Source organism: Homo sapiens, chromosome 19 (genome assembly GCF_000001405.40).
Source record: "Homo sapiens chromosome 19, GRCh38.p14 Primary Assembly".
Taxonomy (NCBI): domain Eukaryota; kingdom Metazoa; phylum Chordata; class Mammalia; order Primates; family Hominidae; genus Homo; species Homo sapiens.
This window is the reverse complement of record NC_000019.10, coordinates 203,833-224,237: the sequence shown is the minus strand read 5'-3', so window position 1 is coordinate 224,237 and position 20,405 is coordinate 203,833. Positions and strand designations below refer to the sequence as shown.

Sequence of the window (20,405 nt, the reverse complement as noted above, 5' to 3'; positions counted from 1 at the left end):
TTTACCGCACCCAGTTCATTTTCTAATTTTTTGTAGAGATGAGGTTTCACTGTGTTGCTCAGGCTGGTCTTGAACTCCTGGCCTCACGGAATCCTCCTGCCTTAGTCTCCCAGTGGGCTGGGATTATAGGTATGAGCCACCTCACCTGACCTGCGACGATTTTTCAATGATGTAATTTCTCTTTTACAGAGCCACCTAAGCTGAAGATTCCCTTGAGAACAAGTACTGTCCCTAGTTTCCCAGTGCTGGAATATAGAAAATGGATGGACAAGTAAATCCCACTCAGCACCCATAGTCCCGGCATGGGGACCTCAACACACCTGAGCCCCAGACATCACCTTTCATTGCGAGTAGCTGTGAGATGACACTTCTGCTGTTCCCAATTCCAGCATTAATTGGATTAGATAGTTATTTTATGAAGAATTTTCATATGCCACAATCCTGACCATATCTTCAAGTGAACAGAAAAATTCTATTAAAAAGTCAACCTTCTGTCTCACTCTGTTGCCCAGACTGGAGTGCAGTGGTGCAATTATGGCTCACTGCAGCCTCAACCTCCTGGGCTCAAGCAATCCTCCTGCCTCAGCCTCACAAGTAGCTGGGACTACAGGTGCTTGTCACCACACCTCACTAATTTTCCCATTTGTGTTATATGTGGATTCCACAGGACTGACTTCGAAAACTTGAGTATGCGTGGATTTTGGTATACACAGAAATGGGAGAGCTGGAACTAATCCCCCCATATACCAAGGGACAAATTGTATCTGTTTCTACAATTATACAGTAGGAGACATTATGTTCCATGACAATGGTAATTTTTAACGACAGTTTTTAATTGAGTGAAATTACCATAAAAATAATAATAGTAGCAGCTAATATTTACTGAGCTGTTACTAGGTGCCTATAAATAGCATAGATTTTTAAATTCTCCATAATTCTTCCTTATTTCACTTAACCACCCTATCTTAAATTACTCATGCTTGCCTCAGTAGCACACATACTTAAGTTGGAACAATAGAGAGATTGGCACGGCCTCTGTGAAAGAATGACATGCAAATTTGTGAAGCATTCCATATTTTTTTAAAAAAAGAGAAAAAAATTACTCCCAGATTTTCACTGTGTTTGTGCATATGACCTTTTGTTTAGGTTGAATTATATCCAAAGGTGAAATTTCCAGAAGTGAGATTACTGTGAGTCACAGGGCATGAGCATTCTTATTACCCTCGATGTAAATTGCAAAGCTTTCAGGCATGGTGGCTGTCAGCCTGTAATTCCAGCACTTTGGGAGGCTGAGGTGGGAGGATTGCTTGAGGCCAGGAGTTGGAGGAGGCAGTATAATGAGTCACTGTCTGTATGATTTAAAAAAAATTTCCAAGCTTTATGCTGGAAGGCTTATATACATTTTAAACACCACTAATACTACAAGAAAATGGCCATTTCACTGCACCTTCGCCCACACAGGTATTATAATTTAACAAGTTATTTTCTGTGTGATAAATGAAAGACCTCCTATTAGCTGGGATTACAGGCATATGCCACCATGCCTGGTTAATTTTTGTATTTTTAGTAGAAACGTGGTTTCACCATGTTGATCAGGCTGGTCTCGAACTCCTGATCTCATGATCTACCCGCCTTGGCCTCCCAAAGTGCTTGATTACAGCTGTGAGCCATGTGCCCAGCCTATTTGTCACATATTTTATCTTTCCTTATGTTAGCTTATTAGCTTTATTTCTTTATTGTCCTTTTTTTTTTTTTTGAGATGAAGTCTCGCTCTGTCTCCTAGGCTTCAGTGTAGTGGCACAGTCTCAACTCACTGCAGCCTTGACCTCCTAGGCTCAGGTGATCCTTCCACCTCAGTAGTTGGGACTGTAGGCACATGCCACTATGCCTGGCCAATTATTTTTATTTTTTTATTTTTACTAGAGAGGAGGTCTTGCTTTGTTTCTTAGGCTGGTCTGGAACTCCTGGCCTCAAGCAATCCCCCCACCACCCCCTCCCAAAGTACTGGTATTATAAGCATGAGCCACCATGCCTGGGGTATCTGTGTCTTTTCCATTTATTTATAGAGTTACTTTGTCTTTTACTAATTCAATGATCTGTTTAATCTTTTATTAAATTATAAAAATGATAAATACTTTTAAATAAGTGAAAAATGTCCTTCACTCTTTAGACCCATAATCTTATCTCAGGAAATAATTGCAGTTGAGAAAATGGGCCATATCCTTCAAGATACGTACATGGTGATTGAACATCACTTCATATTTTCATATTTCGTGGACATTTGTGCCAATACCTATTGATCTATCTTAATCCTTTTCATGGTTGCATAATATTTTATTATATGGATGTATCACAATTTACCAGTACCAGTCAACTGCTGGAGGCATTTAGGCTCCTTCTAATATTTGCTTTGAGCTCTTTATATAATTAAAAATTAACCCCCTCAGCCAGGTGTGGCAGCTCACACCTGTAATCCCAGCATTTTGGAAGGCTGAGGTGAGAGAACTGCCTGAGTGTAGGAGATCACCACCAACCTGGTCAACATAGTGACACTTTGTCTCTACTAAAAATTAAAAAAAAAAAATGAGCTACACGTTGCAGTGCACACCTGTAGTCCGAGCTACTGGGGAGGCTAAGACTGGAGGATCACTTGAGTCTAGAAGGTTGAGGCTGCAGTAAGCTATGATCACACCATTGCACTTTAGCTTTGCTAAGAGCAAGACTGCATTTCTTAAACAAAATAAAAATTAGATGGGAATATTGCTCAAGCCCTGGAGGTTGAGGCTGCAGTTAACTGTGATTGCACCACTGCAGTCCAGCCTAGGTGATAGAGCAAGACCCTTTCTCTAAAAATAAAATAAAATAAAAATTAACCTTCTATCATATTTCCCAGTAACACCTTCCCTCCTACATTTCTCCTAGAAGCCCTTAAATTTTGTTTTTCACATATCGTTTAAAACTTCTAAGTGCTGATGTCTGTCTGTGTCATCCCTCTTTTTTTTTTTTTTTAAATGTCTTTTTGTCACTTCTAGCTGGACCTACCATGAAAGACTTCTGAATCCAGGAAGAGAAACTGACTGGGCAACATGTTATTCAGGTACAAAAAGACTTGGACTGTAACTCAAAAATGATCAAATAATAGTGCATGCATCAAGTGCAATCGGAAGCTCTTCTGGAGAGGGAGAGAAGCTTCCAGTTAAGGTGACATTGAAGCCAAGTCCTGTAAGATAAGGAAGAGTTGTATGAGAGTGGGGAGGGAAGGGGGAGGTGGAGGGATGGGGATTGGGCTGGGATGGGATGGAGTGAGCTGCCCAGGCAGGGAAACCAGCACTATACAGACCTGAACAATGAAGATGGCACATTTTGTTCAGGGAATGGTGAATTAAGTGTGGCAGAAATGCTTTGTAGAGACAGTAATTTGCTTGTATGGAATTTTGCCCAAGAGACCTCATTACAGTTTCTAATTTTTTGATGTTATCATGCATCACTGCCCTTGTCAGATAGTATCATGATCACAATAACATCAAGCATAATATTTCATTGATTCTCACAAAAACAGGTGGGTGCCACAGTTATCCCCATTATATGCACAAAATGATGAAGACTTGGGGTTAATGAGTGATTTGCCCAAGCTCACCTGAATATTAGGACTGAGTCAAATGTTAGTCTGGTCTGACTTTAATGCTTGCCTTGTTCATGAGCACCATGCATTGCCTCTCCTATTAAGTTAAGCAGGTAGACAGGTGAGAGAAGAGCCAGTGTGATATCGGGGGAAATTCACCCCTGATATTTCATGTAGGTTCTTTTCTATTTTCCCTGAGTGTCAGCCAGTCTGAGAAATAAAGGGAAAGAGTACAAAAGAGAGAAATTTTAAAGCTGGATGTCCAGGGGAGACATCACACGTCGGCAGGTTCCGTGATGCCCCCCAAGCCGCAAAACCAACAAGTTTTTATTAGTGATTTTCAAAAGGTGAGGGAGTGTACGAATAGGGTGTGGGTCACAGAGATCACATGCTTCACAAGGTAATAAAATATCACAAGGCAAATGGAGGCAGGGCAAGATCACAGGACCACAGGACCGGGGCGAAATTAAAATTGCTAATGAAGTTTCGGGCGCGCATTGTCATTGATAACATCTTATCAGGAGAAAGGGTTTGAGAGCAGACAACCCATCTGACCAACATTTATTAGGCGGGAATTTCCTTGTCCTGATAAGCCTGGGAGCGCCACGTGAACCCAGGGCTTATTTCATCCCTTATCTACGACTGTAAAAGACAGCCGTCCCCAAAGCGGCCATTTCAGAGGCCTCCCCTTAGGGATGCATTCTCTTTCTCAGGGATGTTCTTTGCTGAGAAAAAGAATTCAGCAATACTTCTCCTATTTGCTTTTGAAAGAAGAGAAATATGGCTCTGTTCAACCCGGCCCACAGGCAGCCAGAGTTTAAGGTTATCTCCCTTGTTCCCTGAAATTGCTGTTATCCTGTTCTTTTTTCAAGGTGCCCAGGTTTCATATTGTTTAAACAACTTGTGCAGTTAACGCAATTATCACAGGGTCCTGCGGGGACATTCATCCTCAGCTTACGAAGATGACCGGATTAAGAGATTAAAGACAGGCATAGAAAATCACAAGGGTATTGATTGGGGAAGTGATAAGTGTCCATGAAATCTTCACAATTTATGTTCAGAGATTGCAGTAATGACAGGCCTAAGAAATTATAGAAGTATTAATTTGGGGAACTAATAAATGTCCATGAAATCTTCACAATTTATGTTCTTCTGCTGTGGCTTCAGCCAGTCCCTCCGTTTGGGGTCCCTGACTTCCTGCAACACGTTTCTCTCTACTCACAGACTTCTGACCAAATGTGTGTGCAGAGTTTCTACACCAGTTCTCCAACTCTCTGGATACCAACCGCGTATCCCACAATTCCATTCTGACACTACCTAGAGTTAGCACAGAACCCACAGGTTAGGGGCTCAGTCCCACAAGACCACCCTCACTTCAGATGCCAGTTGCAAGTCCTAGGTTGTCACCTGTATTTTGACCAACCAGTTAGAAATCAGGGTTTCCCATGACCCTCTTGTTGAGTTTAATTATTTACTAGAACAACTCACAGAACTTAGAAAAACAAGTTTTTTTTCTTTTCTTTTTAAGAGACAGGGCCTCGCTCTGTTGTCCAAGCTGGTGTGCAGTGGTGCAATCATAGCTTATTGAAGCCTCAACGTCCAGGGCTCAAGTGATTCTCCTGCTTCAGCCTCTCAAGTAGCTGGAATTACAGGGTTCCCACCACCACATTTGGCTAATTTCTTTTATTTTTTGTATAGATGGGGTCTTCTTATGTTGCCCAGGTTGGTCTCAAATTCCTAGGCTCAAGTGATTCTGCCCACCTCTGCCTCCCAAAGTGCTGGGATTACGGGCATGAGCCAGTGCATCTGGCCACCTTATTTTCTATTACTGGCTCAATGTAATGGCTCCATCTCAGGAACAGCCAATGAAAGAGATGCACAGGACAAGGTAAGTGGGGAGGGGCACAGAGCTTCCATGCCCTCTGTTGGGCACACTACCCTCCCAGGACCTCCTTGTGTTTAGCAACACAGAAGCTCTCCAAACCCTGCTGTTTGGGTGTTTATGGAGGCATGATTGATAAAATCACTGGCCATTGGTAGTTAAGTCAATCTCCAGTTCCTTTTGCCTCCTGGAGTTCAGCAGGTGAGGCTGAAAGTTCCAAGCCTCAAAAAATGTGGTTGGGGCCAGGTGCGGTGGCTCACTCCTGTAATCCTAGCAGTTTGGAAGGCTGAGGCACATGGACCACTTGAGGTCAAGAGTTTGAGACTAGCCTGACCAACATGGTGAAACCCCATTTCTACTAAAAATAACAACAGTTAGCTAGGCGTTGTGGCACATCCCTATAATTCCAGCTACTCGGGAGGCCGAGGCAGGAGAATTGCTTGAACCCGGGAGGTGGAGGTTGTAGTGAGCTGAGATTGTGCCATTGCACTCCAGCCTGGGCTACAAGAGCCAAACTCCGTTTAAAAAAAAAAAAGTGGTTGCTTTCTCTGGCAGCTAGCCCTCCTCCTGAAGCAGTCTCGGAGCTTGCAGCCACCCTGTTAGCTCAACAGCATCCCACATGCATTCTTACCATGCTGCAGATCTGAAAGACCTTAGAGGCCCTTGTGTCAGGAACCTGGGACTAAGACTAAATATCAAAACAGAAAATGCTCCTATTACCTCTGTCACGAAGGGCTTTATAAGAGCTTTGGAAGCTCTATGCCAGGAACCACGGGCAGAGACCAAATGTATATTTCTTTTCTTATATCGGAGACAGAGTCTCACTCTGCCACTGAGGCTGGAGTGCAGTGATGTGATCATAGCTCACTGCAGCCTTGACCTCCTAGGCTAAAGCAATCCTCCCACCTTAGCCTCTCCAGTAGCTGGAACTACAGGCATGCATCACCATGTCCAGCTGATTTTAATTTTGTAAAGGCAGGATCTTCCTATTTTCCCCAGGCTGATCTCTAACTCTTGGCCTCAAGCAATCCTTCCTCTTTGGCCTCCCAAAATGTTGGGATTACAGATGGGAGCCCCCATACCCACCAATCACAAGGATCTTTATAAGAGAATGAGGTAGGAGAGTCAGAATTAGAGAAAGTGATGTGGTAATGGAAGAAGAGGTCAGAGAGGGAGATTTGAAGATGCTGCACTTCTGGCCTTGAATATGGAGTCACGAGGTAAGTCAAGGAATGGAGGTGGCTTCTAGAAGCTGGAAAAGGCAAAGGAGCACATTCTGTCTAGAGCCTCCCCCAGAAGGAATGCAGCCTCTCTGACACCTTGACTTTAGCCTTGATAGACCTAGTTGGGCTTCTGGCCCCCAGAACTGTAAGATGGTAGATTTGTGGTGTTTGATGCCACTAAATGTAGGGTACTTTGTTGTAGCAACAACAAAAAATGAACATGAAGCTGGGACCTCATGTTACAGTTGCTCACGCCTGTAATCCCAGAACTTTAGGAGGCTGAGGTGGGAGGATCGCTTAAGCCCAGGAGCTTAAGACCAGCCTGGGCAACATAATGAGACCTCATGTCTAAAAAAAAAATGTTTTTAAAGGCCAGGCGCAGTGGCTCACGCCTGTAATCCCAGCACTTTGGGAGGCCGAGGAGGGTGGATCACGAGGTCAGAAGTTCAAGACCAGCCTAGCCAAGATGGTGAAACCCCATCTCTACTAAAAATACAAACATTAGCCAGGTGTGGTGGTGGGTGCCTGTAATCCCAGCTACTTGGGAGGCAGAGAATCACTTGAACCCAAAAGGCAGACATTGCAGTGAGCCAAGATCGCACCCTTACACTTCAGCCTGGGCGACCGAGACTCCGTCTCAAAAAAAAAAAAAAAAGCCATGTGTTGTGGCATGCAGCTGTAGTCTCAGTTCCTAGGGTGGCTGAGGCGGGAGGATTGTTTAAGCCTGGGAGGTTGAAGTTGCTGTGAGCTGTGATTGCACCAGTGTACTCCAGCCTGGGCAATAAAGCAAGACCTTGTTTCAAAAAGAAAGAAATGAGCATGGTGGGAATGGGGACAGATGGCAGTGTTAAGTAGAGTGGTCAGGGTTGGCCTCATAAGTGAATATTGAGCAAAAGTTTGAAGCAGGTGATGGAGCTGGCCAAGGTGCTGAGGGAAGAGCATTGTAGGCTGAGTCAACAGGATAAAGGCATTAGGAGGAAACTCTCTGGTGTGTCTGAGGCTCTGGAAGGAGGCCAGTGGAGCAAAGAGATAGAGGGAGCGAAGTCAGCGAGGAGGCCAGGGAGTTGCTGGGCTGGGATCGGTACAGATCGTGTAAGCCCTGGGACGCTATTGCTGGGGCTTTGGCTTTTACTCTGACTAAAATGGGAACCACCGAGGGCTTCTGAGCAGAGAGGCGACATGATCCGTCTCCTGATTTAAAAGCACGACCTGGCTGCCGAGTTGAGAAAGACTATGGGAAGATTTGGGTAGAAGCATGGGGGCCAAGCTGTGGCAACATCCCGGTGGGAGATGATAGTGATCCTGACGGGGTTCATGGTGGTGGTGAGAGATGGTTAGAGCCTGGATACATATTGAAGTCAGTCAGTAGGATTTCCTGACAGACTGGTTGTGAGCTGTGAGAGAAGGCAGTGGTCAAGGTTGAGTTTGATTCTGATTGAATTATTAAGTAATTTTAAAAAACACTACTGCTTTTCCCAATCCTACCAAGTAAAGGATGCTAGATAAAAGAAATCCCAAGTCAGGCCAGGTACAGTGGCTCACACCTATAGTTCCAACAGTTTGAGAGGCAGAGATGGGAGTATGTTTTAAGGCCATGAGTTTGAGAGCAGCCTGGGCAACACAGCAAGACCTCCTCTCTACAAAAATAAAAAAAATAAATTTAATAAAATAAAATAAATATAGCCAGGCATGATGGTATGTACCTATGGCCCCAGTTACTCATGTGGCTGAGATGGGCAGATCTCTTGATTCTAGGAGTTTGAGGCCAGCTTGGGCAACATAGCAAGTCTTCTCTCTCTACAAAAATGAAAAAAATGCCTGACATGGTGGTACTTGCCTGTATTCCCAGGTATGGGGGCAGCTGAGGCTGGAGCATCTCTTGAGCCCAGTTGGTCAAGGTTGCAGTGAGCTATGATTATACCACTGCACTCCATCCTGGGTGACAGAGTGGGACCCTGTCTCAAAATACAAATACAAATGAAATCTCAAGTCAGACCAGTCCCTTCTAGGCTATGTAGGCCTTGTAACCACATAGCTGCATGATCGGGTTTGTGTGGCTGTGGATGAGGAGACCCCTGTCCAATTGTTGGCTATGTAATCAGTTTATTTTTCAATATAGTAATCAAATATATTTCATCATACTTGATGGTCTCAGATATGTGTGGATTTTGGAATTCCCCTTGGAACAGGTTGTAACATCTTATTGGCTCCATAATTCCATAATTTTTTTAATCTGATCAGTTTTTAATAAGATCGCAATTTATATTAGACTACTTAATCGGTTTTGTTAATGACAAAATGAAATTGTGTTGTTTGCATTTTATCCAAGATGGGTGTCATATTGGGTAAATCTCATCAATACTTGAACAAATGCAAAATTAGAGCTTCTTTATCATGAAACACGATGTAATTCTTGAAGAAGATGCCATTTCTTTTTTTTCTTTTTTTTTTTAAGATAAGAGTCTTTCTCTTGTCACCCAGGCTGGAGTGCAATGGTGCGATTTTGGCTCACTGCAACCTTCACCTTCTGGGTCCAAGCAATTCTCCTGCCTCAGCCTCCCGAGTAGCTGGGATTACAGGTGCCCGCCACCATACCCAGCTAATTTTTGTATTTTTAGTAGAGATGGGATTTCACCATATTGGCCAGGCTCCTCTGGAGCTCCTGACCTCAGGCAATCTGCCTGCCTCAGCCTCCCAAAATTCAAGGAGTACAGATGTGAACAACCACGCCCGGCCTCCATTTCTTTTTTGTAGTCTTTAATAAACAGCTGCTATCATTGCAGACTTGCTGTTTAGGCACTTAGGAATTTTTCACTAGAAGGCATGTAAATAAAGACCATGGGCAATTGTAATGAATTTCGCCTTCATTCTTTGACTACATGACTGTCCCCAGAGCTGTAACTTTATTGAATTTTTTAGAAGCCATTTAGCTAGCAACTGAGCCTAACCAGCCACTCACCGTCATTATTCAGTGCTCTTTTATTATTGTCTATTTCTCCTCCAACTTGGCTACACTCACAAAGTGATAAAAACTTGCATTTGTTTTCTTTCCTTTTCAGAGACAGCGTCTTGCTCTGTTGCTTAGGCTACAGTACAGTGACATGATCATGGTTCACTGTAGCCTCAAACTCCTGGGCTCAAGTGGTTCTCTCACTTCAGTCTCCCAAGTAGCTGGGACTACAGACATGTGCCACCATGTCCAGCTAATTTTTTATCATAGAGACGGGATCTTGCCATGTTGCTCCGACTGGGCTCAAAACTCCTGACCTCAAGTGATCCTCCTGCCTCAGCCTCCCAAAGTGCTGGGATTACAGGCAGGCATGACCACCTGTGCCCAGCCCCCTATTATTATTATTTTAAATAATAGCTTTATTAAAATATTCAAATGCCATTCACTTTATTTATTGAAATCTGCAATTCAGTAGGTTTTAGAATATTCACAGAGCTGTGCATCGATCACCACAGTCACTTTTAGAACCTTTCATTACCCTATAGAGAAATCCATACCCCTTAGCTACTACCTCCTACTCTCCCCACCTACCTTTGCCCCCAGCCTTAGGCAACCATTGATTAATTTTTTGTCACTATAGATTTGCCTAATCTGGACAAATAGAATTGTACAATATGTGATCTTTTGTGGCTTTTTTTCCCTCTTAGCACAGTGTTTTCAAAGTTCCTTTATGTCATAGTGTGTATCAATATTTCATTCCTTCTATGGCAGTATTCCATGGTAGAGACACACTGCATTTTGTTTATCTGTTCATCAGTTGGTGGATATTTGGGTTGTTTCCATGTATTCCACGTATTGGTCATTATGAATAATGCTGCTATGAAGATTGTTGTACAAGTTTTTGTGTGGACATATATTTTTATTTTTCTGGGATATATGCCTAGGAGTGAAATTGTTGCATTATAGGATGACTGTACATTTAGCCTTTTGAGAAACTGCCAGACTGTTTTCTAACGTGGCTATACCAGTTGGGTGCAATGGCTCACACCTGTAATCCCGGCTACTCAGGAGGCTCAGCTAGGAGGATGGCTTGAGCCCGTGAATTCAAGACCAGCCTGGGCAAGATAGTGAAACCCCGTCTTGATTTTTTAAAAATCCAATTAAAATGACAAGAAAAGAAATACCCAAACAAAATGGTTACACAATTTTATGTTCCCACCAGTAATGTATGTGGGTTCCAATTCCTCCACATCTTCACTGACATTTTTTTTTTCTAGATAGGGGCTTGCTCTGTCTCTCAGGCCGCAGTGCAATGATGCCATCACAGTTCACTGCAGCCGTGACCTCCCAGGCACAAGTGATTCTCTCATCTCAGCCTCCTGGGTAGCTGAAAATTACAGGTGTACGCCACCATGCCTGGCTAATTTTTAGATTTTTCTGTAGTGGTGGGATTTTACCATGTTGCCCAGGCTGGTCTCATACTCCTGGCCTCAAGTGATCTGCCCACCTCAGCCTCCCTAAGTTCTGGAATTACAGGCTGCCACCATGCCCGGCCTTCACCAACATTTGTCATTATCTGTTTTTTTTTTCTTCCTTTATACCTTAAAGCAGTATAAGAACAAGTGTCTTCAATTATAGGAAACAGTATAATCCCAGGGCTTTGGGAGGCTAAGACAGGAAGATGTCTTGATGCCAGGAGTTTTTTTTGTTGTTGTTGTTTTTGTTTTTGTTATTGTTGTTGTTGTTTTTGACAGTCTCGCTCTGTCACCCAGGGGTGGAGTGCAGTGATGGGGTCCACTGCAACCTCCACCTCCCAGGTTCAAGTGATTCTCCTGCCTCAGCCTCCCGAGTAGGTGAGACTACAGGTACACGCCACTACTGCCCAGCTGATTTTTGTATTTTTGATAGAGTCAGAGTTTCACCGTGTTGGCCAGGCTGGTCTCGAACTCCAGACTTCAGGTGATTTGCCTGCCTTAGCTTCCCAAAGTGCTGCGATTACAAGCATGAGCCACCATGCCCAGCCTGATGCCAGGAGTTTTAGACTAGCCTGGGCAACCTAGCAAGACCTTGTCTCTACAGAATATTTAAAAATTAGCCAAATGTGGTGGTGCCTGTGTATAGTCTCTCTCCCTCTCTTTTTTTTTTTTCTAACTTTTTGTGACATGGTCTGGCTCTGTCACCCAGGCTGAAGTGCAGTGGTGTGATCATGGCTCACTGCAGCCTGAAACTCCTGGGATCAAGTGATCAATCCTCCCACCTCATCCTACCAAGTAGTAGGGACCACAGGTGTATGCCACCCAGGTCTTGCTATGTTGTCCAGGCTGGTCTTGAGCTCCTGGCCTCAAGCAATCCTCTCACCTTGGCCCCCCACAGTGCAAGGATTACAGGTATGAGCCACCATGCCTGGCCCCTACCCTGCCTACTGAGAACCAAAGGAAGGATCCAAATTCTCCTTAGCTCAACTCGAGCCATTTCCTGATTGCTTCATCAGTGAGGAGCTGGTTATTGGGCTGTCCAGGCCTCCCAAGCAGCACAGAAATGAGGTGAAGGAGTTTTCCTGTTGCTCCACTCTGTAAGGAGTTGGAGGGTGATGTTTACTCATTTGCAGAGAGAGATGCCTTGTAGGCACCTCAGCATGGAGAGGGCCCTGATTCCAATGTCCTTTTTTTCTTCAGAAACAGGACCTTGCCCTGTCACTCAGGATGGAGTTCAGTGGTCCTATCATGGCTCATTATAGCCTCAAACTCCCAGGCTCAAGCAATCCTACCATGTCAGCCTTCCCAGTAGCTGGAACTACAGGTAAGCATCGTGACACTCAGTGAATTTTGTTTTTATTTTGTTGTAGAGATGGGACCTCAGTATGTTGCCATGGCTGACCTTGAACTCCTGCACTCAAGGGATTTTCCTACCCTGGCCTCCCAAAGTATTGGTATTACAGGCATGAGCCATTGTGCCCACCGTCTCTGGTTCTTAACCTTCTGCCTCCCTCTTCCAGTTTTAAAGAATGCTTGTAATTACATGGGCTCTCCTAGATACTCCAGGATAATCTTGTTTTAAGGTCAGCTGATGAGCAACATTAATTTTATCTGCACTCTTAATTCCCCCTTCCTATGTAATTGTGCTGTGTAACATAGGACATGAGCAATTGGTGGCGGTGGGGGTTATTACTTTGGCCACCACAGTAACTATTTTATGCCAGGTACTCAGCTAAGCACTGGTGAATTAAGCATGAATAACACACACTCCTTAATCTCCATCCATTCATGGGAGGAGCACTTCACCTGCCATGCTCCTGAGAATCTCGGGAGTCATAGAAGTCTTCTATGAGGAGGTGATGCCAAAGCGGACAAGTGACAGAGGAGTCAAAGCTAGCTAGGAAGAGAGTAGAGGTTTAAGGGGAAGCATATTATAAGCAGAGGATATTACCCACTTCAGAGACTCCCAGAGGAGAAAGAGTGTGCGTTCAAGGGGCAGATGAGGCTCAGTTGGACTCCATAGCAGATGTAATGGAGAGGGGCAAGCAGTGAGGCTGCCTTGCAAGGCAGGGCAGAGCAGGGGCTGTTAAGGAGTTTGGACTTAATCCCTGAGGCAAGGAGAAGTGATGTAAATGGGGGAGTAACATGATGAGATTCATAGATTAGAGACATGGCTCAGGCTGCTGTAGAGAAGGCACCAGGAAGAGCAGATGGCTCAATGTGTGTGCAGAAGACCTCTCCCTGAGTTTAGGGAGAGGTTTTTAAAACAGAAGAAGTTTGAGTAATTTAAATGATGATGGGAAGGAGCTAAAAGTGGGGGATAGGTTAAAGATACAGGAAAGTGGGAGGAAGAACTGACAAGTGAGGTTCCAGAGAGGGCAGGAGAAGAGGAGATTCCCATAGGGGGATTAACACTTTCTTTTCTTTTTTCTTTCTAAGACAGGGTCTCACTCTGTCACCCAGGCTGGAGTGCAGTGGCACAATCTTGGCTCACTGTAGTGTAGACTTCCCAGGCTCAAGGGATTTCTCCCACCCCAGACTCCCAAGTAGCTGGAACTACGGGTGTGCACCACCACCACACCTGGCTAATGTCTCTTTTTTTTGGTAGACACAGAGTCTCACTATTTAGCACTGATTGGTCTCCAACTCCTGGCCTCAAGCGATCCTCCTGCCTAGGCTTCCCAAATTGCTGGGATTACAGGCATGAGCCACAATGCCTGGCCTCTGCTAGTTCCGTATTCTCTAGAGTTGTCTTTACTTTGTGCTAGTGTGTCCCTCATTGTGCTGATCCTCTGTAAAAATTAATACCTTTTTTTTTTTTTTTGAGATGGAGTTTCACTCTTGTTGCCCAGGCTGGAGTGCAATGGTGCTATCTCGGCTCAGCGCAACCTCCACCTTCTGGGTTCAAGCAATTCTCCTGCCTCAGCCTCCCGAGTAGTTGGGATTACAGGCATGTGCCACCATGCCCAGCTAATTTTGTATTTTTAGTAGAGATGGGGTTTCTCTGTGCTGGTCAGGCTGGTCTCGAACTCCTGACCTCAGGTGATCTGTCTGCCTTGGCCTCCCAAAGTGCTGGGATTACAGGCATGAGCCATTTTGCCTGGCCAAAATTAATACTTTTTATATTAAATTTACATATATATATATATATATATATATATATATATATATATATATATGTTTTTTCTTTTTGATACCGGGTCTCACACTGTCACCCAGGCTGGAGTACAGTGGCACAACCTCTGCTCACTGCAGCCTCCACCTGCCAGGCTCAAGCAATTCTCCTGCCTCAGCCTCCCGAGTAGCTGGGATTACAGGTAAGTGCCACCACACCCAGCTGATTTTTGTGTTTTTTGTAGAGACGAGGTTTCGCCATGTTTCCCAGACTGTTCTCAAACTCCTGAGCTCAAAGCAGTCCACCCACCTTGGCCTCCCAGAGTTCTGGGATTACAGGTGTGAGCCATCTTGCTCATTCTAGTTTAAACTTTTGAGTGGTTTGTGTCTCCTGATTGGACTCCTACAAATACAGAATTGATGCTAGGAAGGGTACCAGGAGATAGACGCACACAGATGGGATTTGGGAATAGGTTTGGTTATCCAAGGAGCAGTGCTGAGCTCCTTGCAATGGGATATGGGATGCTGGTGATTTCCAGGAAGTGCGCTCACAATGACTCAAGCTGCCACATACTGTTGATTGTGAAATGCCAGTTGAAGCATATGTCCTGCAAGCTTAGGGGTGCTACAAGTTGACCACTGCAGCAGTAAAGATGACTCTGAAGAACGGCGTGGGATGGTTCCTTTCAAATGCACTTGAGCAGCGGTCTCCAACCACAGGGCCACAGAGCTGGAGGTGAGCAGCAGGCGAGTGAAGGGAAACTTCATCTGTATTTCTAGCCCCTCCCATCGCTTGCATGACCACCTGAGCTCCATGTCCTGTCAGATCAGCAGCAGCATTAGATTGTCATAGGAGCACAAACTCTGTTGTGAAGTGTGCATGCGAGGGATCTAGGTTGTGTACTCCTTATGAGAATCTAATGCCTGATATTCTGTTACTGTCTCCCATCACCCCAGGTGGACAGTCTAGTTGCAGGAAAACAAGCTCAGAGATCCCACTGAGTCTACATTATAGTGAGTTGTAGAATCATTTCATTATATATTACTATGTAGTAATAATAGAAATAAAGTGCACAATATATGTAATGCACTTGAATCATCCTGAAATTATTCCCTCATTCCCAGTCTGTGGAAAAATTGTCTTCCACACGTTCACTCTGTTTTTTGGTAGAGGCAGGGTCTTAATATATTGCCCAGTCTGATCTCAAACTCCTGGCCTCAAGTAATATACCTCTCTCAGCCTCCCAAAGTGCTGAGATTACAGGCATAAGCCACCACCCTCAACCAAGAGTTTCTTAAACCAAATAAAAATTAAGTGAGATTACTTGAGCCCAGGTGGTCAAGGCTGCAGTGAGCCTGATTGCACCACTGCACTCCAGCCTAGGTGACAGAATGAGACTGTCTCAAAAAATAAAATAAAATACAAATTAACCCTTTATGACATTCCCAGTAACTTCCTAAGTGCTCCCCACAAGTCTTTGAATTCTGTTTAATTTTCACATAACATTTAAGACATTTAAGAACTTATGTCTGTCTGTGTCATCCCTTTATGTCAAAAGATGTCTTTTTGTCACTTCCAGCTGGATCTACCATGAAAGACTTGTGAATCCAGGAAGAGAGACTGACTGGGCAACATGTTATTCAGGTACAAAAAGATTTGGACTGTAACTTAAAAATGATCAAATTATGTTTCCCATGCATCAGGTGCAATGGGAAGCTCTTCTGGAGAGTGAGAGAAGCTTCCAGTTAAGGTGACATTGAAGCCAAGTCCTGAAAGATGAGGAAGAGTTGTATGAGAGTGGGGAGGGAAGGGGGAGGTGGAGGGATGGGGAATGGGCCGGGATGGGATAGCGCAAACTGCCCGGGAAGGGACACCAGCACTGTACAGACCTGAACAATGAAGATGGCATATTTTGTTCAGGGAATGGTGAATTAAGTGTGGCAGGAATGCTTTGTAGACACAGTAATTTGCTTGTATGGAATTTTGCCTGAGAGACCTCATTGCAGTTTCTGATTTTTTGATGTCTTCATCCATCACTGTCCTTGTCAAATAGTTTGGAACAGGTATAATGATCACAATAACCCCAAGCATAATATTTTGTTAATTCTCACAGAATCACATGTAGGTGCCACAGTTATCCCCATTTTATGAATGGAGTGATGAAAACCTTAGGAATAATGAATGATTTGCGCAGGCTCACCTGGATATTAAGACTGAGTCAAATGTTGGGTCTGGTCTGACTTTAATGTTTGCTTTGTTCATGAGCACCACATATTGCCTCTCCTATGCAGTTAAGCAGGTAGGTGACAGAAAAGCCCATGTTTGTCTCTACTCACACACTTCCGACTGAATGTATGTATGGAGTTTCTACACCAGATTCTTCAGTGCTCTGGATATTAACTGGGTATCCCATGACTTTATTCTGACACTACCTGGAGTTAGCACAGACCCCACAAGTTAGGGGCTCAGTCCCACGAGGCCATCCTCACTTCAGATGACAATGGCAAGTCCTAAGTTGTCACCATACTTTTGACCAACCTGTTACCAATCGGGGGTTCCCGTAACTGTCTTCTTGGGTTTAATAATTTGCTAGAACAGTTTACGGAACTCAGAAAAACAGTTTATTTTCTTTTTTTCTGAGAGAGAGGGTCTTATTTTGTTGCCCAGGCTGGTGTGCAATGGTGCAGTCATAGCTCATTGCAGCCTTGATTGTCTGGGTTCCAGTGGTTCTCCCACCTCAGCCTCCCTAGTAGCTGAGACTACATGCCTGCACCACCACATCTGGCTAGTTTCTTTTATTTTTTGTATAGATGGGGTCTTGTTGTGTTGGCCAGGCTGGCCACAAATTCCTGGTCTCAAGTGATCCTCCCACCTCAGCCTCTGAAAGTGCTGGGATTACAGATGTGAGCCACCACATCTGGCCAGTTCATTTCCTATTACTGGTTCATTGTGAAGGATACATCTCAGAAACAGTCAATGAAAGAGACGTGCATGCTGGATGCAGTGGCTCATGCCTGTAATCTCAGCACTTTGGGAGGCCAAGGTGGGAGGATCGCTTAAACTCAGGAGTTTGAGACCAGCCTGGGCAACATGGTGAAAACCTGTCTCTATAAAAAATTAAAAAATAATAATAATAACTGGTGTGGTGTTGTGCACCTAGAGTTCCAACTACTAGGGAAGCTGAGATGAGAGGATACCTTGAGCTGGGGACTGGGGAGGCTTAGGTTACAGTAAGCTGAGATTGTGCCACTGCACTCCAGCTTGGACAAAAGAGCCTGATCCTGTCTCAAAAAAAAGAAAGATACCCAGGGAAAGTTAAGTTCGGAGGGGCACAGAGCTCCCATGCCCTCTGTTGAACATGCGACCCTCCCAGCATCTCCTGTGTCCAGCAACCCTGAAAGCTCTGCACACCCCTTTCAGGGTGTTTATGGAGGCTTTATTATGCAAGCATGATTGATAAAACCTTTGGCTGTTGGTGATTAAGTCAGTCTCCAGCCCCTCTTCCCCCTGGAGTTCAGTGCATGAGGCTGAAAGTTCCAAGCCTCTTACCATGTGGTTTCATGGTAATCAGCCCTCCTCTTGAAGAAATTTAGGAGCTTGCAGTCACCCAGTCATCTCAACAACATCCCCAAATGCATTCTTACCATGCTGGAGATCCCAAAGTTCTTAGAGGCTCTTGTGTTAGAAACCTGGGACCAAGACCAAATATTAAAACAAAAGATGCTCCTGTCACATCTATCACTGAGGTCTTTGTAAGAGCTTTAGAAGCTCTGTGCCAGGAACCAGGGACAGAGATTAAATATATATTTCTTTTCTTTTTTTTGAGACAGAATCTCCCTGTGCCATCCAGGCTGGAGTGCAGTGATGTGATCATAGCTCACTATAGCTTTGGCCTTCTGAGATCAAGCAATCCTCCCATCTCAACCTCCCAAGTAGCTAGGACTACACACGCATGCCACCCATGCCCAGATCATTTTTGTAGAGTCAGAGTTTCACCGTGGTGGCCAGGTTGGCCATGTTGGCCAGATGGGGTCTTCTTTTGTTGCCCAGGCTGGCCACAAATTCCTGGGCTCAAGTGATCCTCCCACCTCGTCCTTGTAGAGATGAGATTTAGTTATGTCGTCCAGGCTGATCTCAAACTCCTGGGCTAAATCGATTGTCTCACCTCAGCCTCTCAAGTATGTTATGAAGGTTATATGTTAGGAAGGGTCCCAGGAGGTAAACCCACACAGATGGGATTTGGGCATAGGTTTGGTTTCCCAGGGGGCAGTGCTGAGCTCTTTGCCAGTGGGAAATGGGATGCTGGTGATTTCCAGTAGGTGACCTCACAGTGACTCAAGCTACCACTTACTGTTGATTGTGACGAAATGCCAGCTGAGGCACATGCCTTGGGAGCTAAGTGGTTGCTGCCCTTGACCACTGTGAAGACTGGTGTGGGAAGGGTCGTTTTGGATGCACTTGAGCAGGGGTCCCCAACCCCTGAGCCATGGAGCCGCAAGGAGCCACACAGCAGGAGGTGAGCGGTGTCGAGTGAGGGAGTGAGGGAAGCTTCGTCTGTATTTACAGCCACTCCCCTTTGCTCACATTCCCGCCTGAGCTCCACCTTCTCAGATGAGCAGCAGCATTAGATGCTCATAGGAGAACGCACCCTGTTGTGAACTGTGCATGTGAGGGATCTGGGTTGCGCTGTCCTTATGAGAGTCTAATACCTATTGATCTGTCACTTTCTCCCATCACGCTCAGGTGGGAACATCCAGTTGCAGGAAAACAAGCTTAACACGCCCACTGATTCTACATTATGGTGAGTTCTATAATTATTTTATTATATATTACAGTGTAATAATGGAAATAAAGTGCCTAATAAATGCAAATGTGCTTACATCTTTTGGCCCAGCTCCTACCTCCCGGCAGCCTCTCCAGGCCCAGAACTTTCTCCAGTCAGCCTCTACAGACCAAGCTCATGACTCTCAATGGCCTATTTAGGCCCATACCCTACGTCACGGCAGCCTCCGCAGATGAGGCTACTGCCTCACAACAGCCTCCACAGGCACAGCTCCATCGTTACAATGGCCTCTTTAGACCCAGCTCCTGCCTCCCAGCCTTCTCTCCAGGCCCTGAACTTTCTCAGTAAGTTCAGGTAGCTGGGACTGTAGGTATACATGACGATACTTGGCTAATTTTTAAATTGTTTTGTAGACACAGGGTCTCACTTTTTTGGCCAGGCTGGTGTCAAACTAATGGCCTCAAGTGACCCTTCCACCCCTGCCTCCCATCCTCGAGGTATGTGCCACCACAAGGAGCACTTGTTCAATTTTCTAAAAAAGAAATTTCTAAAGTAAGGCTGTGGGATGATGGCAGGAAGATAAAAGAAAAACAGAAGAATAAGTTAAAATGACTTATTCACGCATATTCTTTTGACAGCAAGAAGAACTTTTAGTATATACATTCCTTACAAACAAACAAAAGGCAGATAAACAATGTTGTATAGGAACTTCAACACACACTGTACAATATTCCCACTTTGCTGACATAAGTTATGGAAATTTCATGGTTTACTTGAGTGTCGCTACCAGTATTTTGCTTCTCTGATGATTTTTATCAACTTCCTCATCTGTTAACTTCTCTCCAAGGTATGTCATGTCACGACATACTGCCGCTGCACGAACATGGCCAGTGTCTTCCTATTCAACATGTAGAATGCTTTCCTAATTTCTCTTTTTACTCTCTGTCTTTGTGTTCTGCATTTTCCTTACTTTTATTGTCAGAAACTCCAGAAAGTCAATCGTACTAATTTATCACGATTTGCTTTATTAATTTATACTTTGCTTATATGGAATTTTGCCCAGCAGACCTCATCACAGTTTCTAACCTGCTTTATTTATTTATTTATTTTTTTCTGAGACAGGGTCTCCCTCTGTTGTCCAAGGCTGGAGTGTAGTAGTGCTATCGCAGCTGACTGCAGCCTCAACCTTCCAGGCTGAAGCGATCCTCCCACCTCAACCTCCCACGTGGCTGAGACTACAGGTGCTTGCCACTATGCCCAACTAACATTTGGAATTTTCGTATACGTGGATTCTAGAGGGGTGACAGCGAAACGTGAGTAAGCATGGATTTTGGTATATGCAGAGATGGGGGGCT

At 44.6% G+C, this 20,405-nt stretch overlaps 1 long non-coding RNA gene and 1 pseudogene across 17 annotated transcripts in view; both read left to right on the top strand.

Annotated features, from left to right (window-relative positions):
* Positions 1 to 20,224, top strand: part of LOC101928344 (uncharacterized) — a 42,519-nt gene extending 22,295 nt beyond the window's left edge. The window contains exons 8-14 of one of the 17 annotated variants that reach the window (XR_007067060.1): positions 190 to 356; positions 3,033 to 3,097; positions 12,353 to 12,476; positions 15,847 to 18,783; positions 19,011 to 19,068; positions 19,162 to 19,420; positions 20,173 to 20,219. This is a non-coding gene — a long non-coding RNA (uncharacterized LOC101928344). The other 16 variants (XR_007067059.1, XR_002958438.2, XR_007067069.1 and 13 more) reach the window with 16 other exon arrangements.
* RNU6-1076P (RNA, U6 small nuclear 1076, pseudogene) lies at positions 977 to 1,080 on the top strand (annotated as a pseudogene).
* Positions 20,225 to 20,405: the final 181 nt, after the last annotated feature.